The sequence below is a fragment of the Homo sapiens genome, chromosome 11 (genome assembly GCF_000001405.40).
Source record: "Homo sapiens chromosome 11, GRCh38.p14 Primary Assembly".
Lineage (NCBI taxonomy): Eukaryota > Metazoa > Chordata > Mammalia > Primates > Hominidae > Homo > Homo sapiens.
In genome coordinates, this window is record NC_000011.10 from 72,403,722 (window position 1) to 72,424,699 (window position 20,978).

The 20,978-nt window shown below is 46.1% G+C and overlaps 1 protein-coding gene across 8 annotated transcripts in view, besides 9 other annotated features; it reads right to left on the bottom strand.

Annotated features, from left to right (window-relative positions):
• Positions 1–20,978, bottom strand: part of CLPB (ClpB family mitochondrial disaggregase) — a 149,037-nt gene that overhangs the window by 118,227 nt on the left and 9,832 nt on the right. For 2 of the 8 annotated variants that reach the window (XM_047427655.1, NM_001258394.3), the window contains exon 3: positions 4,377–4,483. The exons of 5 other annotated variants lie outside the window; for them this stretch is intronic. In XM_047427655.1, coding sequence (XP_047283611.1) covers positions 4,377–4,483 — 107 coding nt within the window. Of the gene's footprint in view, positions 1–4,376; positions 4,484–6,549; positions 6,652–20,978 lie in introns of all 8 variants that reach the window. One more of the 8 variants, XM_047427656.1, reaches the window with a different exon arrangement.
• Positions 8,044–8,123: an enhancer, noted in NCBI's record as "active region_5186". NCBI's record gives its function as "activates an Ori minimal core promoter by ATAC-STARR-seq in GM12878 lymphoblastoid cells {active_cell/tissue: GM12878}" and the evidence as "EXISTENCE:reporter gene assay evidence [ECO:0000049][PMID:35858748]".
• Positions 8,194–8,253: an enhancer, noted in NCBI's record as "active region_5187". NCBI's record gives its function as "activates an Ori minimal core promoter by ATAC-STARR-seq in GM12878 lymphoblastoid cells {active_cell/tissue: GM12878}" and the evidence as "EXISTENCE:reporter gene assay evidence [ECO:0000049][PMID:35858748]".
• Positions 8,304–8,393: an enhancer, noted in NCBI's record as "active region_5188". NCBI's record gives its function as "activates an Ori minimal core promoter by ATAC-STARR-seq in GM12878 lymphoblastoid cells {active_cell/tissue: GM12878}" and the evidence as "EXISTENCE:reporter gene assay evidence [ECO:0000049][PMID:35858748]".
• Positions 10,345–10,394: an enhancer, noted in NCBI's record as "active region_5189". NCBI's record gives its function as "activates an Ori minimal core promoter by ATAC-STARR-seq in GM12878 lymphoblastoid cells {active_cell/tissue: GM12878}" and the evidence as "EXISTENCE:reporter gene assay evidence [ECO:0000049][PMID:35858748]".
• Positions 10,445–10,554: an enhancer, noted in NCBI's record as "active region_5190". NCBI's record gives its function as "activates an Ori minimal core promoter by ATAC-STARR-seq in GM12878 lymphoblastoid cells {active_cell/tissue: GM12878}" and the evidence as "EXISTENCE:reporter gene assay evidence [ECO:0000049][PMID:35858748]".
• Positions 14,308–14,995: an enhancer, noted in NCBI's record as "NANOG-H3K27ac hESC enhancer chr11:72129073-72129760 (GRCh37/hg19 assembly coordinates)". NCBI's record gives its function as "activates a minimal SCP1, AML or CMV promoter by ChIP-STARR-seq in naive H9 embryonic stem cells {active_cell/tissue: H9 hESC(naive)}" and the evidence as "EXISTENCE:reporter gene assay evidence [ECO:0000049][PMID:30033119]".
• Positions 14,996–15,683: an enhancer, noted in NCBI's record as "H3K27ac hESC enhancer chr11:72129761-72130448 (GRCh37/hg19 assembly coordinates)". NCBI's record gives its function as "activates a minimal SCP1, AML or CMV promoter by ChIP-STARR-seq in primed H9 embryonic stem cells {active_cell/tissue: H9 hESC(primed)}" and the evidence as "EXISTENCE:reporter gene assay evidence [ECO:0000049][PMID:30033119]".
• Positions 15,684–16,370: an enhancer, noted in NCBI's record as "H3K27ac hESC enhancer chr11:72130449-72131135 (GRCh37/hg19 assembly coordinates)". NCBI's record gives its function as "activates a minimal SCP1, AML or CMV promoter by ChIP-STARR-seq in primed H9 embryonic stem cells {active_cell/tissue: H9 hESC(primed)}" and the evidence as "EXISTENCE:reporter gene assay evidence [ECO:0000049][PMID:30033119]".
• Positions 17,053–18,252: an enhancer, noted in NCBI's record as "CDK7 strongly-dependent group 2 enhancer chr11:72131818-72133017 (GRCh37/hg19 assembly coordinates)". NCBI's record gives its function as "activates an origin of replication core promoter dependent on BRD2, BRD4, P300/CBP, MED14 and CDK7 cofactors, with strong dependence on CDK7, by STARR-seq in HCT116 cells {active_cell/tissue: HCT116}" and the evidence as "EXISTENCE:reporter gene assay evidence [ECO:0000049][PMID:35650434]".

Consider the following 20,978-nt stretch of genomic DNA (forward strand, 5'->3'; position numbering starts at 1 on the left):
ACCCTACCAGAATCTATATGCCAGTGCCTAACACATTGTAGAAGCTCAATAATTATTAAATAAATTAACAAACACAGAATTTAAAGTATCCCACTAAAAGTCTGAATTTTTGCTCCCAGGACAAAAGGACCAACAATGTAGGGGTGGGTAAATAGAATGAACTCTTACTGAGCACCTTCTACAAGCAGGAACTACCCCAAGTACTTTACATTCATGATTCCATGTACTCTCAACACCACCTAAGGACCTAAGAGTAATCGCCTCTTTTCAGGGATAAGGTAACAGGCTCACTGAGGTGAAATGACTTCCTTAAGGTCACGCAGCTAGTTAAGGGGCAGTGCAGTGACTGGTTGGCAGTGACTCTACAGCCAGGCTCCTTCTCACCTCACCACCCTTCCTCCAGACAGAACCTGGCTCTAGATAACATGAAAGACAAACACTACACTGATGTCAGTGAATCAGTATGACATGCACTTGGTCCCCTGCTAGATTCTGGATGAGGGTGAGGAGAAGACATGGCTCAAGACAGCATATCAAAGAACACAGTGCCAAGAAAGGGAGGAGGGGTTTGGGAAGCTAGGAGGCTGTTTTTCAGTGGGTTCTAGCCAAAGGGCAGAGAGTCAAAGGCTTGGGTTTGAATCCTAGCACCATTCTTGTGCCACGATCTATAGTAAATGTCCCTACAGACCAAGTCAAATAAAATCTGTGTTGCTGATGTTAGCAGGTAACTAAGGCTTGAGAGGATGATGAGAAACATCATGTACTAAGGCTTCTCTCAAATACTTTCGAAGGCACTGTCAAAGCCCAAGGGGGAGACAGAACAGAACTGCACATCTCATGAGTGATATGAATGGGACTATGGGTTGCAGGTGCACTACAAGGAAACTTAACCCAGTCTCAGTGGCCAAAAAGGCCTCTCTGAGGAGGTGCTGATAAAGGGGAACTGGCCAAACAAAAGCAGGTGAGGGAGGGGAAGGAGTGTTCCAGGTAGACGCAGTCCTCTTCACCTGGAGCAGACCCAGGGTATATGAGACCCCCTAAGATGTTTGGTATGACTGGGGTACAACATGTGAGGGAAGAGTATTAAGAGAGGTTAGGAAACATTCCTTTCTTACCTCTAGTTTGGAGGATTTACTCTGGTGAAGGTCCCTTACTATACATAATGTTACACTTCTTTTATGCAGAAACAATTTTCTATGGCCAAGAATGTTAAAGACGCTAAGAACCCTGTCTAATTTACAAAAACCTCTTCTCCTTGTTTAGCAGGCCACGTGATATGGTAGAGAGCGCATGGTTCTGATCCTAACTATGATCCTGATGGGATGGCCTCGCTTCTCTGACCCTCAGTCCAAGAGGCTAGAAAATCAGGATAGGCTGAAGAAAATCAGAGGCTTCTGACGGCACAAACTTGAATTGTGTCTTGAAGAAGGGGAAGAGTTTAGAGAAGTGGAAGGAAGTGCACGTCAATCAAGGCAAGAAACAGGGTATGACTGCGAAGCAGGAAAGGAACATTCAGAGATCATTAGGCAGCTCCATCTGGGTGACAGTTCACAGCAGAGAAACAGACAGCTGCTGAGGCATGCACAGCCAACACAAGACCTCGAATGTCAGACTAGGAGGCTAAGGCAGTGGGCATAAACCTTTCTGAGATATGGGCTCTTTTGTGACTACGATCAAATTTCTTCCAGAAAAGTGCATAGGAGCATACACTCTCAAAAACATTTTTTTTACATATAATGATCAGGTGTTCGCAGCCCCCATGAAATCAGTAATGGACCCTAGGATAAAAGCTCAGTCTAAAGGTTTGACAGATTCCTGGCATGCATGCTACTGTCCTGTGCTCCCACGTCTAAGAGGGATATCACACATCTCTCCCAGCAGTTCTTGCTGTGGAGCCTTTGAAAGAGCCTCAGAATCCTCTTCAAGGCCGGGCACGGTGGCTCACATCTGTAATCCCAGCACTTTAGGAGGCCAAGGCAGGTGGATCACGAGGTCAGGAGATCGAGACCATCCTGGCTAACACGGTGAAACCGCATCTCTACTAAAAATACAAAAAATTAGCCGGGCGTGGTGGCAGGCACGTGTAGTCCCAGCTACTCAAGAGACTGAGGCAGGAGAATGGTGTGAACCTGGGAGGCGGAGCTTGCAGTGAGCTGAGATCACACCACTGCACGCCAGCCCGGGCGACAGAGTGAGACTCTGTCTCAAAAAAAAAAAAAGAATCCTCTTCAAAATAGGTTCCAATCAGCCACCATCAATCCACTGAAGTTAGCAACAGAGAGAAAACCTAGTTGCCATTCCTTAGCTTCCCACCAAAGGCAGTGAGGTTGTCCATTCAAGGTTTTGGGACAAAAGAAATTATAAAATTAACCTAATCACTAAGCAGGCTGAATTTGAAGGGCGAAGAGTACAAAATGGGGATAAGAAGACCAGTTTGGAGGTGTAATACAGACCTTGGGAGAGGAGCTTGGGCAGGAAAATGAGAAAGGAGGGTGCAGCTAGGATAAACTCAGAGTGACCAAAATCCCTCATGCCTCCAAGGGAACAATGACCCATGTTCCCCTGCCTGGACCCTGAAAATTGTGGAAGCAGCGTTGCTCTAGAGGTAGGGCTGAAGAAAGAAGATTGAAATGCCTCCTCCTACTGCCCCTGAAGGGCCGAGTGCAGTCTAATAAAAAGAAATGGATGAATAAAGGGCATTGGAGTAAGTCAGACCCCGATTTGAATTCTGATCTAGCTAGATAACTCTAAGCAAATCAACACTAATTTTCAGTCTTCTGACCTCTGGGATAATAATCTCTAAGTTGCAAGATCCCAGCCTTGGCATATAGCAGGTATTCAATACAGACCCTACTATCCTATCTCACTTCCATCATTTTGATGGAACAAAGTGTTGCACTCTCAAGCTGGTAGTGGCAGGTTGGCTAATACCCAGGGATTCTAAGATGTGATCACACAGGATGACCTGGATAATTCAGCAAAGCTGGCTCTAGGCACTTTGTTCATTCATTCAGCAAACATGTGCACACACCCACTCTGTGCCCAGCCTCTTGCTGGCTACTGGGGAGGAGACAGAGAGAGAGGTTCTTGCTTTCCAAGACCTGAGCCAGGCAAGATCTATCTCTTCTTTTCCTTCCCTCCTTCCTTCTTTTATAAATACATATACATGGGTGTGTGTAGGTACGTGTGTGTGTGTATGTGTATAAAATTCTGCTTACAACTTTTTTCACAGAAAATTCTGTTTTAAGTATACTCATATTGCTAAGTATGCAATAACTCCATTGTTTTTAACTGTTGCATAACTCCCCACGGTGTGTGTCCACATTTTCTTTCTCTGCTCTCCCAGGCATACCCGCCCAGGGAGCCTCTATCTCCCAGCCACCAAAAACAATGCTCACAGAACATCCTCTCCTATGTCCCCTTTTGGACCTATGTGAGCATTTCCCTGTGGCATGTACTTGGAGTGAAATCACTGGGTCCTACAGTATGTGCATAGTTGATTTGACTAAATAGTGCCAAGGTCCTCTTCTGAATAGCTGCCCCACTGACCCTTCCACAAGCAGGACAGAGGTGTGCCTGTGTATCCCTCTTCCTGTCAACACTTGGCCATAGCCAGCTTTCTAATCACTGCCAGTCTAATGGGTGGGTGTAAAGGGCTATTATATTATTGTTTTATCTTGCATGTCTCTGATGACTAACAATTTTGAGCTATTTGTTATACGCATGTTTGCATTTCGGGATTTTCTCTTCTGTATATTGCAGGGTTTTCTATTTTAAGAGGAAGAACTCCTGGAAGAGGCATTTCTCTAAACCTGCTATCATAGAACTCCTGGAAGAGGCACTTCTCTAAACCTGCTATCATTTCAATGAAAGAACATACAGGAGAGTCAGGAGACCTGGGTTCTAGCTCTAGCTCTGCCACCTACTATTTTTTTTTTTTTTTGAGATGGAGTCTCGTTCTGTCGCCCAGGCTGGAGTGCAGTGGCACGATCTCGGCTCACTGCAAGCTCCGCCTCCCGAGTTCACGCCATTCTCCTGCCTCAGCCTCCCAAGTAGCTGGGCCTACAGGTGCCTGCCACCACGCCCAGCTAATTTTTTGTATTTTTTAGCAGAGACGGGGTTTCACCGTATTAGCCAGGATGGTCTTGATCTCCTGACCTTGTGATCCACCCGCCTCAGCCTCCCAAAGTGCTGGGATTACAGGCATGAGCCACCGCGCCCAGCCTCTGCCACCTACTATTCTAACATCCTAAAGGAAGGCACATCATCTGGCTAAGCTTTGTCTCTTCATAGGTCCAATGAGGATCACAATCCTCCCAGTGTCATAGGAGTTTTAGGAGGCAGCACCGAAATATAAAGGAAAGGGCTCTACAAACCTGAGGGGCCATTCAGAGGAGGAAATCTTGGTGTTCTTCAGTGAGACTCCAGCATTCAGCCCTGCCCAGCTTCTTGACTGAGCATCATTCTTTGCAGTCTCTTGGGGCTGAGGTATAATGGAAAAAAAGCAATGACCCTGGAGTCCAAAGGCTGGAGTTCAGATTCTAGCTCTGTCACTTACTAGCTGTGAAATGGAAGATATTAATCCCTCTTGTGCAAGGTGGTCGTAAGGATTAAAACAGAATTTCGTAAGGAGTGGTGGCACCTGGTAGATCAAGAAAGAACCGGGCTGGGTGCGGTGGCTCATGCCTGTAATCCCAACACTTTGGGAGGCCAAGGTGAGTGGATCATGAGGTCAGGAGATCAAGACCATCCTGGCTGACACGGTGAAACCCTGTCTCTACTAAAAATACAAAAAATTAGCCGGGTGTGGTGGCACACACCTGTAATCCCAGCTACTCGGGAGGCTGAGGCAGGAGAATCACTTGAACCCAGGAGGCGGAGGTTGCAGTGAGCCAAGATTGCGCCACTGCACTCCAGCCCGGGTGACAGGGCAAGACTCTGTCTCAAAAAAAAAAAAAAAAAAAAAGAAAAGAAAAGACCACAAGAGAACCCAACCACAAGTAACTCTGAAAGAGCTGGGTAGGCCCCTCCCCTGCCTCCCCTCAGTGCAGAGCAGCCCAGAAAGTTGGAATTTTACAAACCAGGTCTCCTGCATTTCACTGTGTTGCTCTGCAAGTGAATGCACAGTGGGCAGTCATTTCAAAGTCCTGGGCCAGCTAGGCGGCGGGCTGCCCGCTGAGAGAGGCTGAAAGGGCGTTTGAGGCCTGAGAAAGCCACCCTTGCTCTCCCCTGTGATTTTCACCAATGGGCAAAATGTGGCAAGTGAATTAATCTCTTTTAAAAAGAGCAATGCTTGTGACAGAGTACGGTGTCTCTGAAAAGGTTAGGATTCCATCATCCCTGAGATGATGAGTAGAATGCTTAATTCAGGCTGCCACTCAGGGCAGAACAGCCTGTGTCCAGGGGCTAGAGAGGCAGGGTGGGCATAGTGGGCCTTTCTGGGCTCACTCCAGACTTGTGGAAGGCCCTTCCCTAATGAACTAGGTCTCCTGCTTGGCAGGGCAGCAGTAGGTGACCCCTATCTGGGGATTGCCCAGGGTGGTAGACACAGAGTAGACCGCATTAGAAGTCCAGAGTTGAAGCCACGCATGGTGGCTCACACCTGTAATCCCAGCACTTTGAGAGGCCGAGGTGAACAGACCACCTAAGGTCAGGAGTTCGAGACCAGCCCAGCCAACAAGGCGAAACCCCATCTCTACTAAAAATACAAAAATTAGCCGGGCGTGGTGTCGGGCACCTGTAATCCCAGCTACTCGGGTGGCTGACGTATGACAATCACTTGAACTCGGGAGACAGAGGTTGCAGAGAGCTGAGATTATGCTACTGCACTACAGCCTGGGCAACAGAGAGAGGCTCCATGTCAAAAACAAAAAAAAAGTCCAGAGTTGAATCCAAGCTCTTGCACAACTCTCAGGCAGTAGAGTGGGTCAGAAAAATCAGCAGCAAAGATCTCGTTTCAAATCCAGGTTCTGGGGGCCAGGTGCAGTGGCTCACACCTGTAATCCCAGCACTTTGGAAGACGGAGGCGGGTGGATTACCTGGGGTTGGGAGTTCGAGATCAGCCTGGCTAATGTGGTAAAACCCCGTCTCTACTAAATATACAAAATTAGCTGGGCGTGGTGGCGCACGCCTGTAATCCCAGCTACTCCGGAGGCTGAGGCAGGAGAATCGCTTGAACCCAGGTGGCGGAGGTTGCAGTGAGCCGGGATTGTGCCACTGCACTCCGACCTGGGTGACAGTGAGACTCCGTATAAAAAAAAAAAAATCCAGGCTCTGGCGGGTGGATCACCTGAGGTCAGGAGTTTGAGACCAGCCTGGCCAACATGGTAAAACCCCATCTCTATTAAAAATATAAAAAATTAGCCTGGCATGGTGGCCAGTACCTGTAATCCAAGCTACTCAGGAGGCTGAAGCAGGAGAATCACTTGAGCCCAGGAAGCAGAGGCTGCAGTAAGCCAAGATCGTGCCACTGTACCCCAGCCTAGGCAACAAGAGCAGAACTCCATCTCAAAAAAAACAAAACAAACAAATCCAGGCTCTGTTACTTACTAAGTGAGGAGTGGTGGATGAATGAATGACTTAGCCTCTCTGAATCTCAACTGCTTCCTTCATTTACATGATAGCTCCTGCTCTCTAAGCCTGTTTCTGCATCTGTTAAAAAAAAATGGAGAACACCTCACCAACCCTACTATATATGTCACATAGGGGTGCTATGAAGAGACAGTGAGAAAAAATATGTAAAAATACTTGGGATGCAATAAAGCACTGTACAAAATAGCATAAGAAGAGCTTATACTATTCTTATCACTTTCCAATTTGTGTTCACTCGATTTTAAAGAAGTGACAGAGTAACTAGGATGATACAGGAAAAGGTATACACAGAACTTGGAACACAGTAAGTGCTCCAAATTACTGGAGGATAGATAAATGAACTGTCTAAAATTCCCAGGCAAGGGCAGCAGCAGGAAAGGGAAGGTTCCCTAGCCCAAGAGCTGAAGATTACCACAGAAGGACAAATCAGTCGGGAAAAACATATCCTGCTCCCATCCATCAGTGATCCTGGAGAGTCCAGCAGGCTAAAGACCAAAGAGGTAACAGCTATTACCACTGATTGGGGAAGGGGCAATGAAGCAGTCAAGCTTTCTCTTTCTGCTGTGAGTACCTCTGTATTGTTTGAAGTTGTGCTGTTTTTATAACAATGACCATACTATTACTCTTTTTTAAAATAAAACTTTCTTAGGAAAAAAAAAAGTCCTATACTTTAAGAAGCCTTCCCTAAGATGACCTTGTTGCCACCACAATCCCCTGTGCTAACCTGTATCAATGTAGTTATCATACAGTCCACAGGTCTAACTTCCCCAGTAGGCAAGCATGTCCTTCTAGAAACAAGGACTTGCCTTCATCTCTTTGCTCCAGGTGCCTGCCATGGCAGTTGGCACACCACAAAGCTCGGGGTCTGAATGAATGAATGTCTACAGCACTTACCTACATTAACTTCTCACCAATACTTCTGTCTGGTGCTGGAAGTTACCTGTTTTATAACTGTAAGCTTGTCTTTTTCGAAGAACTTAGGCTTCTATGTATATGTAGGAGGGTGTGAGTGCAGCTTCTCAGTCTCAGGGCTGAGGACATTTGTGGATACAGGCCTAGGGGCTACAGGTCACAAATTCCAGTCATGGCTCTATCACTTACTAGCTATGTGACCACAATAAATGTCTTTGTGGTCCTTACTTTTATCTGCAGTAAAAGAAGGAAATGAATGAAATTATTTCTGAAGTCCCTACCAGCTCTATAATGTTATAATTCTAAATATGTGTAGCATCAAAATGAAAATTGAGTAGATTCCTAGCAGACGCTGCACTCAGCAAGACTTCCAACGAAAAGACAACTCCCCAGGCTCTGTTTGTGGGAGGGAGGGAAAGAGTCCCAGAAAGGGACACAGGGGCAGCTTTGAGTTATTCTGGCTAACTAGCTCTTCCACTCAGGGGAGGGAGGTACCACTTGATTTTTCTTCCTCTTTCTTTAGGACCAATCAATACAAAGCGGCCACTGAACTTCAATGACGCATTGTTCCAACTGATTTCCGGATCCTTCACATGAACCAGCCCTCAGCTGCAGCTGGGGAGGGGCTGAAGGGTAGGGAGCCCTATCCCACCTGCATCAGAGGCCTGGAAGCACTGAGCCATGCAGACCCAATCATGATTGCTATCTGGGCAACAGGGCCCTGGCTGGAGCCTCACAGAAGGCCCTGTTTACAGTAATAACAGCACCAGGCCCTGCTGTCTGAGCAGAGGCAAGGTGCCTGGGGCCAGAATCCCCAGGCAGCCTCCATCTGTGCCTTATCTAGCCTGCCAGCCAGGGCTGGGAGGGGCAGGGCAAGGGAGCAAAGGCTGCTCATAGACCCCCCAGCCTGGGACAGCAGACTTCAGGCAGGGTCTTGGTGCTTCAACTCCATAGACAAGGCCTCTCCAGCAACTTCTGCATTTGCTACTTGAACTGAGCACCCTTCTCCAAGGCCTAGCTGGGGACCCTTCCGTGAGGAAGCTCTCCAGATGCTCTCACTCCCAGTGAGATGGCCCACTGAGCATTCTGTCATGCCTGGAGAACTCCAAGGGAGTGAGAGCAGTGAGGGAGGGGAGAGGCTGGCAGGTATGCAGTACCTACCACAAATGCCAAGTGTACTGTGGAATGTGTCTGCATGTTTCATAGCTGGCTATTTCCTATCACAGAAAACTTTAAAATTTCTGAACTTAAAGAATGATCTGCAGAGATTAATCAGTCCAAATCTTCCTTTTACACACACAGATAGGGAGGCTCAGAAAGCGTCCCCTTTGGAAAAGACTGATCTATATATGAGCCTGCCTCTGTCTGTCTCTTCCAGGCTGTGTGACTGTGGGCAGATCACACTACCCTCTCTGAACCTCAGTCATCTTACCCTATCAGCCTGTCAGCCCTACCTAACATGGGTGCTGAGATGACCAAAGGAAATAATGTTTGTGAGGGCACTTACATTTTCCAAATCTTAGTTGCTATTATTACACTTGTTCTGTTTGTTGAGGCACACAGTGGAGGAGCTGAATCACAACCTCAGTGAATACTTGCTGGATCAACTGAATAAAGTGCAACACTGGGTGATCATTCTTTGTCCCATCTCTCTTACAGAAACTTGGCCCACATTAAAGTGCTCAGATTATTTTTTAACTTTTTATTTTGAAATAATTTCAAACTTATAGAACAGTTACAAAAATCACACACACACACACACACCCCTTCAAACAGCCTTCATGCCAGGTGCGGTGGCTCAGGCCTGTAATCCCAGCACTTTGGGAGGCCAAGGCAGGCGAGTCACCTGAGGTCGGGAGTTCGAGACCAGCCTGACCAACATGGAGAAACCCCGTCTCTACTAAAAAATACAAAATTAGCCGGGCATGGTGGCACATGCCTGTAATCCCAGCTACTCGGGAGGCTGAGGCAGGAGAATCGCTTGAACCCTGGAGGCGGAGGCTGCAGTGAGCCGAGATCGTGCTATTGCACTCCAGCCTGGGCAACCAAAGCGAAAATCCGTCTCGAAAAAAAAAAACAAAGACAAAAAAACAAATAAATAAATAGCCTTCACTCATATCCTGTTTACATTTTGTTTCATTTGCTTTTCTATTCCTTTTCTATTTTTTTTTGCTGGACCATGTGAGAACTAATTTCAGATACTATGCCCCTTTACCTCCAAATACTTCATCGAGCATATACCAGATACATTGGTACATGCATCTCGTACCTAGTACCAGAGCATTCTCTTACAGAACCACTAACTAATGATGATAAAATTCAGAACATTTAACATTGATATACTATTTTTATCTGATATACAGCCCACATTCAAATTTCTTCAATTATCCCAATATTCATTATAGCAATCTCCCCCTGTGATCCAGATGAAAGCCAGGATCAATATCAGGACCAAACACTGCATATGTTTCAATTTCATCTAGGATAGTTCTTCAACCTTTCTTTGATTTTCATGATATTGACATTTTTTGCAGAGTAAGGCTAGTTTGTTTGTAGAATACCCTTCAATGTGGATAACAATTTTTGAGGTACTACTTATTATGCATCCATTCGTTCCATAAACTCTTCCTGAGGACTGGTTATTACAGGACTCTGAGCAGGGCACTCAGGGTACTGTGATGAATTCTGTGGTATCCTTGCCTTCAAAGCATTCACTGGACAGCTACACACTGGGCAAACAGCTAAAATACAAGCAAGGACCCTAGAGGAAGGTGCCATGAGAGTACAGGTCAGAGCAAGAGAGCCACAGGGATGACTTCCTAGAGGCAGAGTGTGCCAGAAAGGATGGGCCAGAAGCACAGATTCCCAGAGTGACCTTCTGGGATCCTCTATAGCAAACATCTTTGCTTCCCCAGGCAGTGTGTGCCAAGGCTGAGACTGAATAAAACACGGAAGTCCAACAATACAAGGCCATAAACAGGAGGGAGTGGCCCAAAGCACCTTCATCTGGGTACCCCTGCCCAGAGCTATTAATATATGCATTTCCCAGAGAGTCAGCAGCTGTGGTGGTGAGAAGGAAAGGCCTGTGCAGGACCTGAGGTGTGGGAAAGGGTCATAGGCGCCACCTACTGGCCCCACAGCAGGCCTCCTGGCTGGCTGCCAGGAAACCTGTCACACTACAGCAGTGAGACACAAAAGTGGTTCAAATTTCTCAAACAGTGAAACAGTGTTGGTACTTGAGCCACCTTCTGTGAAGTTCAGGAATCTCACAAAATTTCCAGTAAAGAAGAGACAATGAAAAGCCAACCATAAAACCTGGCCTCCTCGGGCAAAGGTGTGGCCTTCACTCACTCAACAAAACTGAAGTAACATCTCCAAGCTAGCCTCTGTGTTGGGCATTGACAGACACCGAAGTCAATCAGACATGAATCTTGCCTACAAGGAGCTCTTATTCTGAGCTGGAGGAGGGAAAATGAAACAAGCGCACAAATAAGTGCACTAAGTATCACAGGTGCTCAGAGATGTTTACACAGGCTCAGGGAGCACAACTCACCGCCTTGCAAAGCTCTTGAATGATGGAGTTCAAAAGAGCTCACATTTCTTGAGCTGCCTACTACGCAACAGATACTTGACATTTATGATCTCATTTGATCCTCTGAAAGAAGCCCAAGTCTTACAGAGGGTAAATGACTGATTAAGATTACAAGGCCAGGCTGGGAACGGTGGTTCACGCCTGTAATCCCAGTACTTTGAGAGGCCGAGGTGGGTGGATCACAAGGTCAGAGGTTGAAGACCAGCCTGACCAACATGGTGAAACCCTATCTCTACTAAAAATACAAAAATTAGCCAGGCATGGTGGCAGGCACCTGTAATCCCAGCTACTCAGGAGGCTGAGGCAGGAGAATCACTTGAACCCGGGAGGCGTGGGTTGCAGTAAGCCAAGATCGCACCACTGCACTCCAGCCTGGCGACAGAGTGAGACTCCGTCTCAAAAAAAAAGAAAAAGAAAGATTACAAGGCCAATAAGTAGCAGCCGGGGATGAAGCCCAAGCTCTATGGAGCCACACTGCCTTCCAGGGCTCATATGCCCAATTCTTCCCTTCTTTCCCAGATTTAGCATGCGTCAGCACACCATAGTTGTCTGATGGGACCAATCAGCTGACAGAAAATAAGGAAAAGCCTCAAGTGGAAAGGAGTTTACTTGAGGGGTGAAGATACTTTCTGTTTAGTCCTGAAGCTTCCTAGAACCTTCTCTCTTGGAAGTTCTAGTTCCTTCTAGTCGCATGCTGAGAACATTCCAAGCCTATCCTTTCTTCTTTCTGGTAGTCTCCATACCACCACCACTACTTTCACATAGTACATATTCACATTTCAAATATTACAAATTCACAAGCAAATACAAAGCCTTAAAGTGTCCTTACCTTTAGGTTAAAACAAGCTCTGCAAACAAATCCAATCAAAGGGTTACAGGACAGAAGAAGTCATGGATCTCAGAAGGCTGGGCCGATTACAAGCTTAACAGAACCTAGGAGTGTAACGCAGCTGCCAAGAAAGCCAATGCAAGGTCGGGCCATATTAATAGAAGTATAAAATCTTTAACAAAGGGGATGGTTGCCCTGCTCCTCACAATAATGGTCATGCCACACTGGAATTCAGAGAGGGCACCAAAACTTTCTAGCTGTTTCATTTTAAAATGACTAGGATGAGGAGGAGACTTGAAACCACAGTTTAGGGAACCAAGGCTCATATAGCTTGGAGCTCTGTCTCCTAAGAGTTAAAAATCTGGAACAGGAAAAGGAAGCCATGTAGTCCTAGAAGACAGAGCTGGGACCAAGTGAGGGGAGTTGCAAAGGGAGCTAACACATAATGACAGCCCATCATGTGCCAAGTGCTATGCCAGGTGCTTTCACACTATTGCTTCAGAGCTCATCAGAAGATAAAACTGTTTTCTACTACTAATTACAAATTGTCTTTACTTACATTACTCCAACTGCCCAGAAAGTCTTTCTGCAAAGCTCCTTGTATACAAATACGACCTATCTCCAGACCCAAACTAAAGGCCACCTTGCCTGTGAAGCCCTAACTTTTCACCTGTACTAACTACAATTCTCTTACCAGACCGCAAGTTCCTTGAAAGACAAAGGTCATCATGATACATTTTTCTCCCCCTCAATGCCTAATAAGAAATTGCTCATAACAGGCCTTAAGAATGAATAAATGCCAAAGAATGGCTGGGTGCGGTGGCTCACACCTGTAATCTCAGCACTTTGGGAGGCTGAGGCAGGCAGATCACCTGAGGTCAGGAGTTCGAGACAAGCCTGGCCAACATAGTGAAACCCCGTCTCTACCAAAAATACAAAAATTAGCCAGGCATGGTGGCACGTGCCTGTAATCCCAGCTACTTGGGAGGCTGAGGCAGAAGAATCGCTTGAACCCGGGAGGCAGAGGTTGGATTGAGCCAAGATCGCGCCACTGCATTCCAGCCTGGATGACAGAGCAAGACTCCGTCTCAAAAAAAAAAAAAAAAAAAAGAAAAAAGAATGAATAAATGCCAAAGAAGATACAGAAATGGCCAATAAGCACATAAAAAGATGCTCACATCATTAGCCATTAGGGAAATGCAAATCAAAACCACAATGAGATACCACTCCACACACACTAGGTTTGCTGTAAGTGATGACAACACTGATGACAACAATTGTTGGTGAGGATGTGGAAAAGGTAGAACCCTCACACGTTGCTTTTGGGAATGTAAAATGGTGAAGCCACCCTGGAAAATGGTTGGGCAGTTCCTCAAAATGTTAAATGTACAGTTACTCTATGGCCCAGCAATTCCACTCCTAGGTATACACTGAAGAGACATGAAAACATACATTCACATAGAAATCTGTACACGAATGTTCACAGCAGCATTATTCATAATAGCTAAAAAGTGGAAACACAAATGTCCATCAACTGACAAATGACATCCTGTATGGATGTACATCCAATAAAATGTAGTACATCCATACAGGGAATATTATTCAGCCACAAAAAGGAATAAAGTACTGATATATGCTACAACATAGATGAACCTTGAAAACATTAAGCTCAGTGAAAGAAGCCAGACACAAAAGGCCACATATTGTATAATTCCATTTATATGAAATGTTCAGAACAGGCAAATCCAGAAACAGAAAGCAGATTAGTGGTTGCAACATCTAGGGGGAGAGGAGAATGGGGAGTAACTACTATTGGAACCAGAGTTTTCTGAGGGTCCGGGGTGGGGTGGGAGAGTGATAGAACATTCTGGAATTAGTGGTGCTGGTTGCACAATCTTATAAATGTTCTAAAATCCACTAAATTGTATATTTTTAAAGGTTGAATTTTATGGTATGTGAATTATACCTCAAAAGAAAAAAGAATGAATGTATATTCAGTCAGAATCTGCCTATTCTTCAGGAGGCAGAGAGTGCCTCATACCTAGAGGCACCCAAAGAGGGCTGGATGTTGACCATCAGAGAAGCTAAAGTGGGGACCTGAATACTGGAAAGGAAATGAGGCTGGAGACAAAAGTGCCTGAGATCCTGTGTGACCCATCTAGGGGTTGTGACTGAGCCCCTGATGTGTCCTGGGAAGGATCCTGCCCCTCCCCACCCCTGCTGGACTCTTGAGCCCTTGGGAATTCCGGGGGCCTCCCTCAATTGTTTGTGCTTTACATCCTGCCCCAGTACACTGTCCATCTGCAAAGGCTGGTCAAACACACAGGCTTCGCAGGAGGCCTGGGTGCTATCCCTTCAAACAAAAGGGCATTGAGATGGAAGCCTCAGCCCAGCCTCAAAGAGGATTCTTATGCAGCCTTCCTGAGCCTTCCATCCACATGAATGGAGGATCCTGGAGACCAGTCAGCCTGCCCAGCTGCTGCCTAGGGCTGTGCTCTCCTGCTGGTTAGCCTTTGGAGAATAAACAAGGTTTCTATCAACCAATCAATCAACGGGCCAGACTCCATCTGTACCATGTGTCTTCTGAGTGCCAGCCAGCCTTGTGTGACTTACTACGGTGAAGGCAGGAGAAGGAGGTGCCATACACCTTGCTGTGACAGGGCTCACAGCCTAGGTCAGGAGAAATACATAAGAAGCAACTGAAGAGAAAAGTGAAGAGATGAATCAGTAAACATGACACAGCAATGGTGTGAGGCAGGTCAATTATCATCCCTACTTTGCAGATGAAGAATCTAAGGTTAAAGATGTTAGACAACTTTTCCAAGGTCACAGAACTAACCAATGGTCACAGCCAGGATTCAAGCCTTGTTTTGTCAGACTCCAAAGTCCTCACCACTGCTTCCTGCTAATGATAAGAAATCCACTTGAAGGCCAGGTGCAGTGGCTCATGCCTGTAATCCCAGCACTTTGGGAGGCTGAGGCGGGAGGATCACGAGGTCAGGAGTTCAAGACCAGCCTGGCCAACATGGCGAAACCCTGTCTCTACTAAAAATACAAAAATTAGCCGGGTGTGGTGGCACACACCTGTAATCCCAGCTACTCTGGAGGCTGAGCCAGGAGAATCGCTTGAACCCAGGAGTCAGAGGTTGTAATGAGCTGAGATCGTACCACTGCACTCCACCCTGGTGACAGAGTGAGACTCCATCTCCAAAAAAAAAAAAAAAAAAGAAAAGAAAAGAAATCCACTTGTATTTGCATCCATTGACAGAATCACAAGGAGAGGACGACTGATTGCCTTAGAAGGACTTTGGGCCTAGGGCTCTTGCTCAGAAGGGAGGAACACAAAGGAGGCAGGACATAGTAGAGCCTCAAAGTTCAGAAACTGAAATTTTCTGAGGTTTTTTCAAAAAGGCAGACACAGAACAGGAAGTACAAGGCAAGCAGCTTAAGTGAATATTAGAAGCCCAGTAACACACTGGCTTGATTGTTTTCAATATTCTTAGATTCATCTCTGTTCCTCAGTTTCCAGGAAAATTCCTTGGGAGAAAAATTCCAGTTGGTTCTGGCGGTGCTGACATGAATTGCGTTATGATTTTGATTAAGCTGGGATTTTAGAGGAGAGATAGCACTTGGGCGACATAAATGATGGTAGGGAGGCAGAGCCTGACAACTGCCCCTGCTGTTAGGCCCTGAGCGATTACAGCTTTGTGGCCTACACTGCCTCAAGAGGCAGGACCATGCCCAAGATGATGCCTGGCACATACAAGCAGGAAGGCACTCACATTAGTTCCTCATGTTCCTCAGCCATCAGAATGGCTACTGATCATATTGATCCCCTCTCAACCCATCTCAGCTGCCACTGCCATAAAAATAAAGACAAAGCTTCTTCATGTGGCCTCTGATGCCCTGTAGGGTCTGCTTGTTCTAGGCTCCTGGCACCTTCCTCTAGCTGGAGTACCATTGGCCTTTTTCAGTCCTTCACACTGGCCTTGCTTCCTCCTCATGCAGGATTCTTGTAAATAAAAGTTCCTTGTGCTAGAGAGCTCTTCCCAACCTTTTCCACCTAGATAAACTCTTCCTTATCCTTCAATTCCAAGCTCAAGCTTCCTCTGACCAGGGGAAATCTGGCTGTCACAGGCTCTCCTGATTCTCTGTGTCCTTCCTTTGCAGCATTTGTACTAGTTGTCATTTCGCATTTGTAGGATTCACGTCTGACAAGGCTTTGAGCTCCATGAGGCAAATCCTGTACATGTCTGACTACTGATCTACCAAGCACAGTGCCACACATAGTAGGCACTATTTGTTTAATGAATAAACGATTGAACTACTTCATTTTTGTTTGTCCTCTGTCTACAGGTTTATTATGACTGTAATAGCTACACAGTTTGCTTAATTTTTATCATTTACAAAACACTTTTAGCCAGGCGTGGTGGCTCACACCTGTAATCCCAGCACTTTGGGAGACCAAGGCAGGACTGCTTGAGCCCAGGAGTTCAAGACCAGCCTGTGCAACATGATGAGATCTTGTCTCAATTAAATAAACAAACAAACAAAAACACAAAACGCTTTCAATGGCTGGGCATGGTGGCTCACGCCTGTAATCCCAGTACTTTAGGAGGCCGAGGTGGGCGGATCAAGAGGTCAGGAGTTCAAGACCAGCCAACATGGTGAAACTCCGTCTCTACTAAAAATACAAAAATTAGCTGGGCGCAGTAGCTGTCGCCTGTAATCCCAGCTACTCGGGAGGCTGAGGCAGGAGAATGGCTTGAACCCAGGAGGCAGAGGTTGCAGTGAGCCGAGATTGTGCCACTGCACTCCAGCCTGGGCAACAGAGCAAGACTCCATCTCAGGGGAAAAAAAAAAAAACTTTCAATAATATTCAGTGAGTATTTGGTAACTATTTACATGCACAGTGATGAACAACACAGCAATGGTCTGCTGCCCTCCAAAACTCACAGTGTTGTGAGGGAGAGAAGGAAACAGATAACCCATCCCAACAGAAGGTGGTAAGTGCTCTCACTTATATAGTACAGGGTGCTATGGGAATCCACAGATACTGGTGTTGTAGGAGTTATTAAGAAACTATTTCAGGCAGATAAGAGAGGGAGAGGTCCTTGGGAAATTTTCGTTTTTTAAAGCATCTCCAGAAGTTTCTGGTAAAGCCCCGTTCTTAGAGCCAGTCGGCAACCTTTGATATACAAATGAAGGCCATTAAAAAAACTGGGTCTACCCAGCAGAACGCAGTGGCTCACGCCTGTAATCCCAGCACTTTGGGAGGCCAAGGCGGGCGGATCACCAGAGGTCGGGAGTTCGGGACCAGCCTGGCCAACATGGAGAAACCCCATATGTACTAAAAATACAAAATTAGCCGGGTGTGGTGGCGCATGCCTGTAATCCCAGCTACTCAGGACATGGTGCCCTGCATTTGCATATTAAAATGCTAGGGTGGGAGGACCAGCTTTTTTGCAGGGTACATGAATGACATACCTAGTCAAACCAATCCCTTGAGTCCTATGCAAATCAGATACCACCTCCTCCAGCCTCTGTATATACCTGGCTGGTATCCATGGCAGGTGGGGTTCCCTCTCTTGGCTTTGGAGCCCCCTCCCTCTGTCTCTGTACAGGGGAGCTTCTTCCTTCTCCCTTCCTTCTTGCCCCTCCTTCCCTACTAAACTCTCTGCTCCTTAAAACCAATCCACGTGTTTCCGTGTCATCTTATCTAATTCGACATGAGACAGGAGCACTGGTGTCCCTCCACTCATCAGAGCCGTATCACTGGGGGATCAGGGAAGGCTTTCAGGAAGATGTGACAGTGATGACCGAAGGATGAGGAATTTTCCAGACAAGGACTCACCTGCCTGGAATGCTCACAAGATCCTGGGAGAGTGATGAGACAAGTATCATCAAAGATACTTTACAGTGGAGGCCCCCGAGGAAACTGAGAGACTAGCCCAAGGCCACACAGGGCTGGCTGTGCTCCTTTTCAGTGACATGACCCCTCCCTCCAGGCCCACTGCGTTAGGCCCTGGCTGTTCTCTGCTCATGGCCAACTGCCTGCCTCTGCAGGGCTTCTGGGCAGTTGACCACCTGCTCCCACAACTCACCTACCCATGAAGTTATAGAGAAGCTGCTAATCCAACCTTTCCCAATTGCCTTCCATCACCAGGGAACAAGCAATCAGAGCCTCAGCAAGCCACATACCCCAGAAAAGAAGCCAGGCACTACGCCACTCTGTAGAACTGCTTGAGAGGTACAAGGTCTACTTGAGCAAGCCTAGGGTTTCAGTGTGTGATCTGGACCCTTCCAGAAGGACTCAGCTTTCTCTGAACACTAGGAAACTGGCCGGGCGTGGTGGCTCACGCCTGTAATCCCAGCACTTTGGGAGGCCAAGGCGGGCGGATCACGAGGTCAGGAGATCGAGACCATCTTGGCTAACATGGTGAAACCCCACCTCTACTAAAAATACAAAAAATTGGCCGGGCGTGGTGGCGGGCGCCTGTAGTCCAGCAACTTGGGAGGCTGAGGCAGGAGAATGGCGTGAACCCGAGAGGCGGAGCTTGCAGTGAGTCGAGATTGTGCCACTGCACTCCAGCCTGGGTGACAGAGCAAGACTCCGTCTCAAAAAAAAAAAAAAAAAAAAAAAAAACTAGGGAACTGTATTTAAAAGGTCTCAGTGGGGACCCCATGAACAATACTTGGAAGCTAAGACTTAGGGTAGGTCAGTGACTTATTAATGGTCACATAGCTTGTTAGTAACTATGACAAAAGTAAAACGAGGTCTTTTAATTCTAAAACTCTTGTATTCTTTCTGTAACATTATGCTGCCTTTCCAACATTCTGGAAAGGCATTCAAAAAACCTGTGTACACCCTAGCATTCAAAAAACTGTGTGATGATCTTCAGAAGCTCTCACTATAAGTATCAAATTACAGGAGTGATGCCCTTGAGGCCTTGACCTTTGGTCTAGGATAAAGCTTGTGTTTCAATCCACTGCAAGCCACAAGGATATTTACATACTTCCTGATTAAGAGAGCTGGATGTTTTGGTTGCTCTGATGCCATCATTAATATCTTCCCATCCAGCCAAAATGATACAACAATCAATAAACAGACAGCCTCTCTGAGGCCCCGAGACAGCCAAATGTATTTACCAGCCAGGGTTTTGTTAATTAGATAAAATCCCTGGATCAATGTGCAGGACATTTACCTATGCTGTAACTAAGTACATTCTGGACACCTCAATCCTGGCACATGGACAGCAAGTGCCTCAAGCCCCAAGCTGGGGCATCCAGGGACGAGAACCAAACCAAGCCATCAGTGCAAAGCTAGAATAAATATGTTTACCCCTCAACAAAGCCCAACCCTTTCTTTTTTCCTGAACTGTAAACCAAATCAGATTTTTTTCCCCAAAGCCATCTAGTAAACCAGTTTGGGCTAGTATGAAGTTCTTTATTTTCTAAAGCCATAAAACCAGAAATCAAAACAGGACACCAAAAGAATCTCCTAAATGATAATTTAAGAGGCAACATGGCATGTATAGTGGGAAGTCAGAAAGACCCAGAGGTTCTAGTGCCTAAATGACATTTCCATTGGCATGTTAAATTCAGCATGTTTAAAACTGAACTCATAATCTTTTCCCCAAACCCAGTGTTCCTCAGGGATCCACATCTCGGTGAATGGCAAGAGCATCTACACAGATGATCAAGCCAGAAAACTGAAATTCATTAAGACCCTTTTCTCCCTAATCAACCATATCCATTTATATTCATTCATTTATTGAATACTTACTGTGTGGCAGGCACTGTACCAGGCATTGTCCTAACCATCACCAAGTCCTATCTAGTTTACTTCCTCCATCTCTGCTGCTGTCATCTTAGTCCATGTCACATCTTCTCTCATCTGGACTACTCCAGCTACTTTTCAACCAGTCTTCCAGCATCCAACACAGATCTCTACCAATCTGTTCTCTACCAAACAACCAGAATGATCTTTCAAAACTGCAGATCTATATCATGTCACAATGTGTACCTGTTAGTCTTTCTCACACATACACATACTGGCTGAAAATTCCTCAACGGTTGCCCATGCTCTTAGGACAAAAATAAAAACTGTTAATATGGCCTACAGACCCAGTGTGGTATGGTCCCTGCTTAACTCGCCAACCTCATTTGACACCACTCTCCCCCTTGCTTTCTAGGGTCCAGCCTTATTGGCCTTCTCTCAATTCCTCAATTTCTCCACATCTTTGAGTCAGGACCTTCCACCTGCTGTTCCCTCTAACTGAACTGTCTTCCGCCTTTCTCTTCATCATTAAGAGTTCACTTCAGTCTCATTTACCAGAAGCTTTGATCTAGGACTTTGATCTCTAGAACTGAGAGGAATACATTTATGCTGTTTATAAACCACTCAATCTGCGGTATTCTGTTATAGCAGCCCAAACAGACAAAGACAGTGGCCTTCGGTGACTAGCTTTTTTCACTTAGCATATTTTCAGGGTTCATCCATGTTGTAGCACGTATCAGTGCTTCCTTTGAATTGATGAATAATATTCTGATGTACTGTTCTATCATATTTTTATGCAAAATGTATCGGGCCCAGAGAGACCTGAGTATAGGCGCTCAGCCATAACCCCACACCCTTGCCCCATGCCTGGGGGCAATTGTTTAAAGCCATTTTTTTCTTTCTTTTCTACCCTGTAGTTTCCTAACTAGCTGCCTCACCCATTATTTTCCTGTAGTTCCTGGAATATGTGATACAAAGAACAATGTATAGCCAAACAATAGCTTGTTATTTTAATGTAAATTCTTGGTAAACAACTTGGAAAGTGCCTCTTCTGCGTGGTGGCTCAGGCCTGTAATCCCAGCACACTTTGGGAGGCCGAGGTGGGCAGATCACTTGAGGTCAGGGGTTCGAGATCAGTCTAGCCAACATGGTGAAACCCCATTTCTACTTAAAAAAAAAACAAAAATACCCTGGGCGTGGTGGCTCACGCCTGTAATCCCAGCACTTTGGGAGGCCGAGGCGGGCGGATCACGAGGTCAGACCATCCTGGCTAA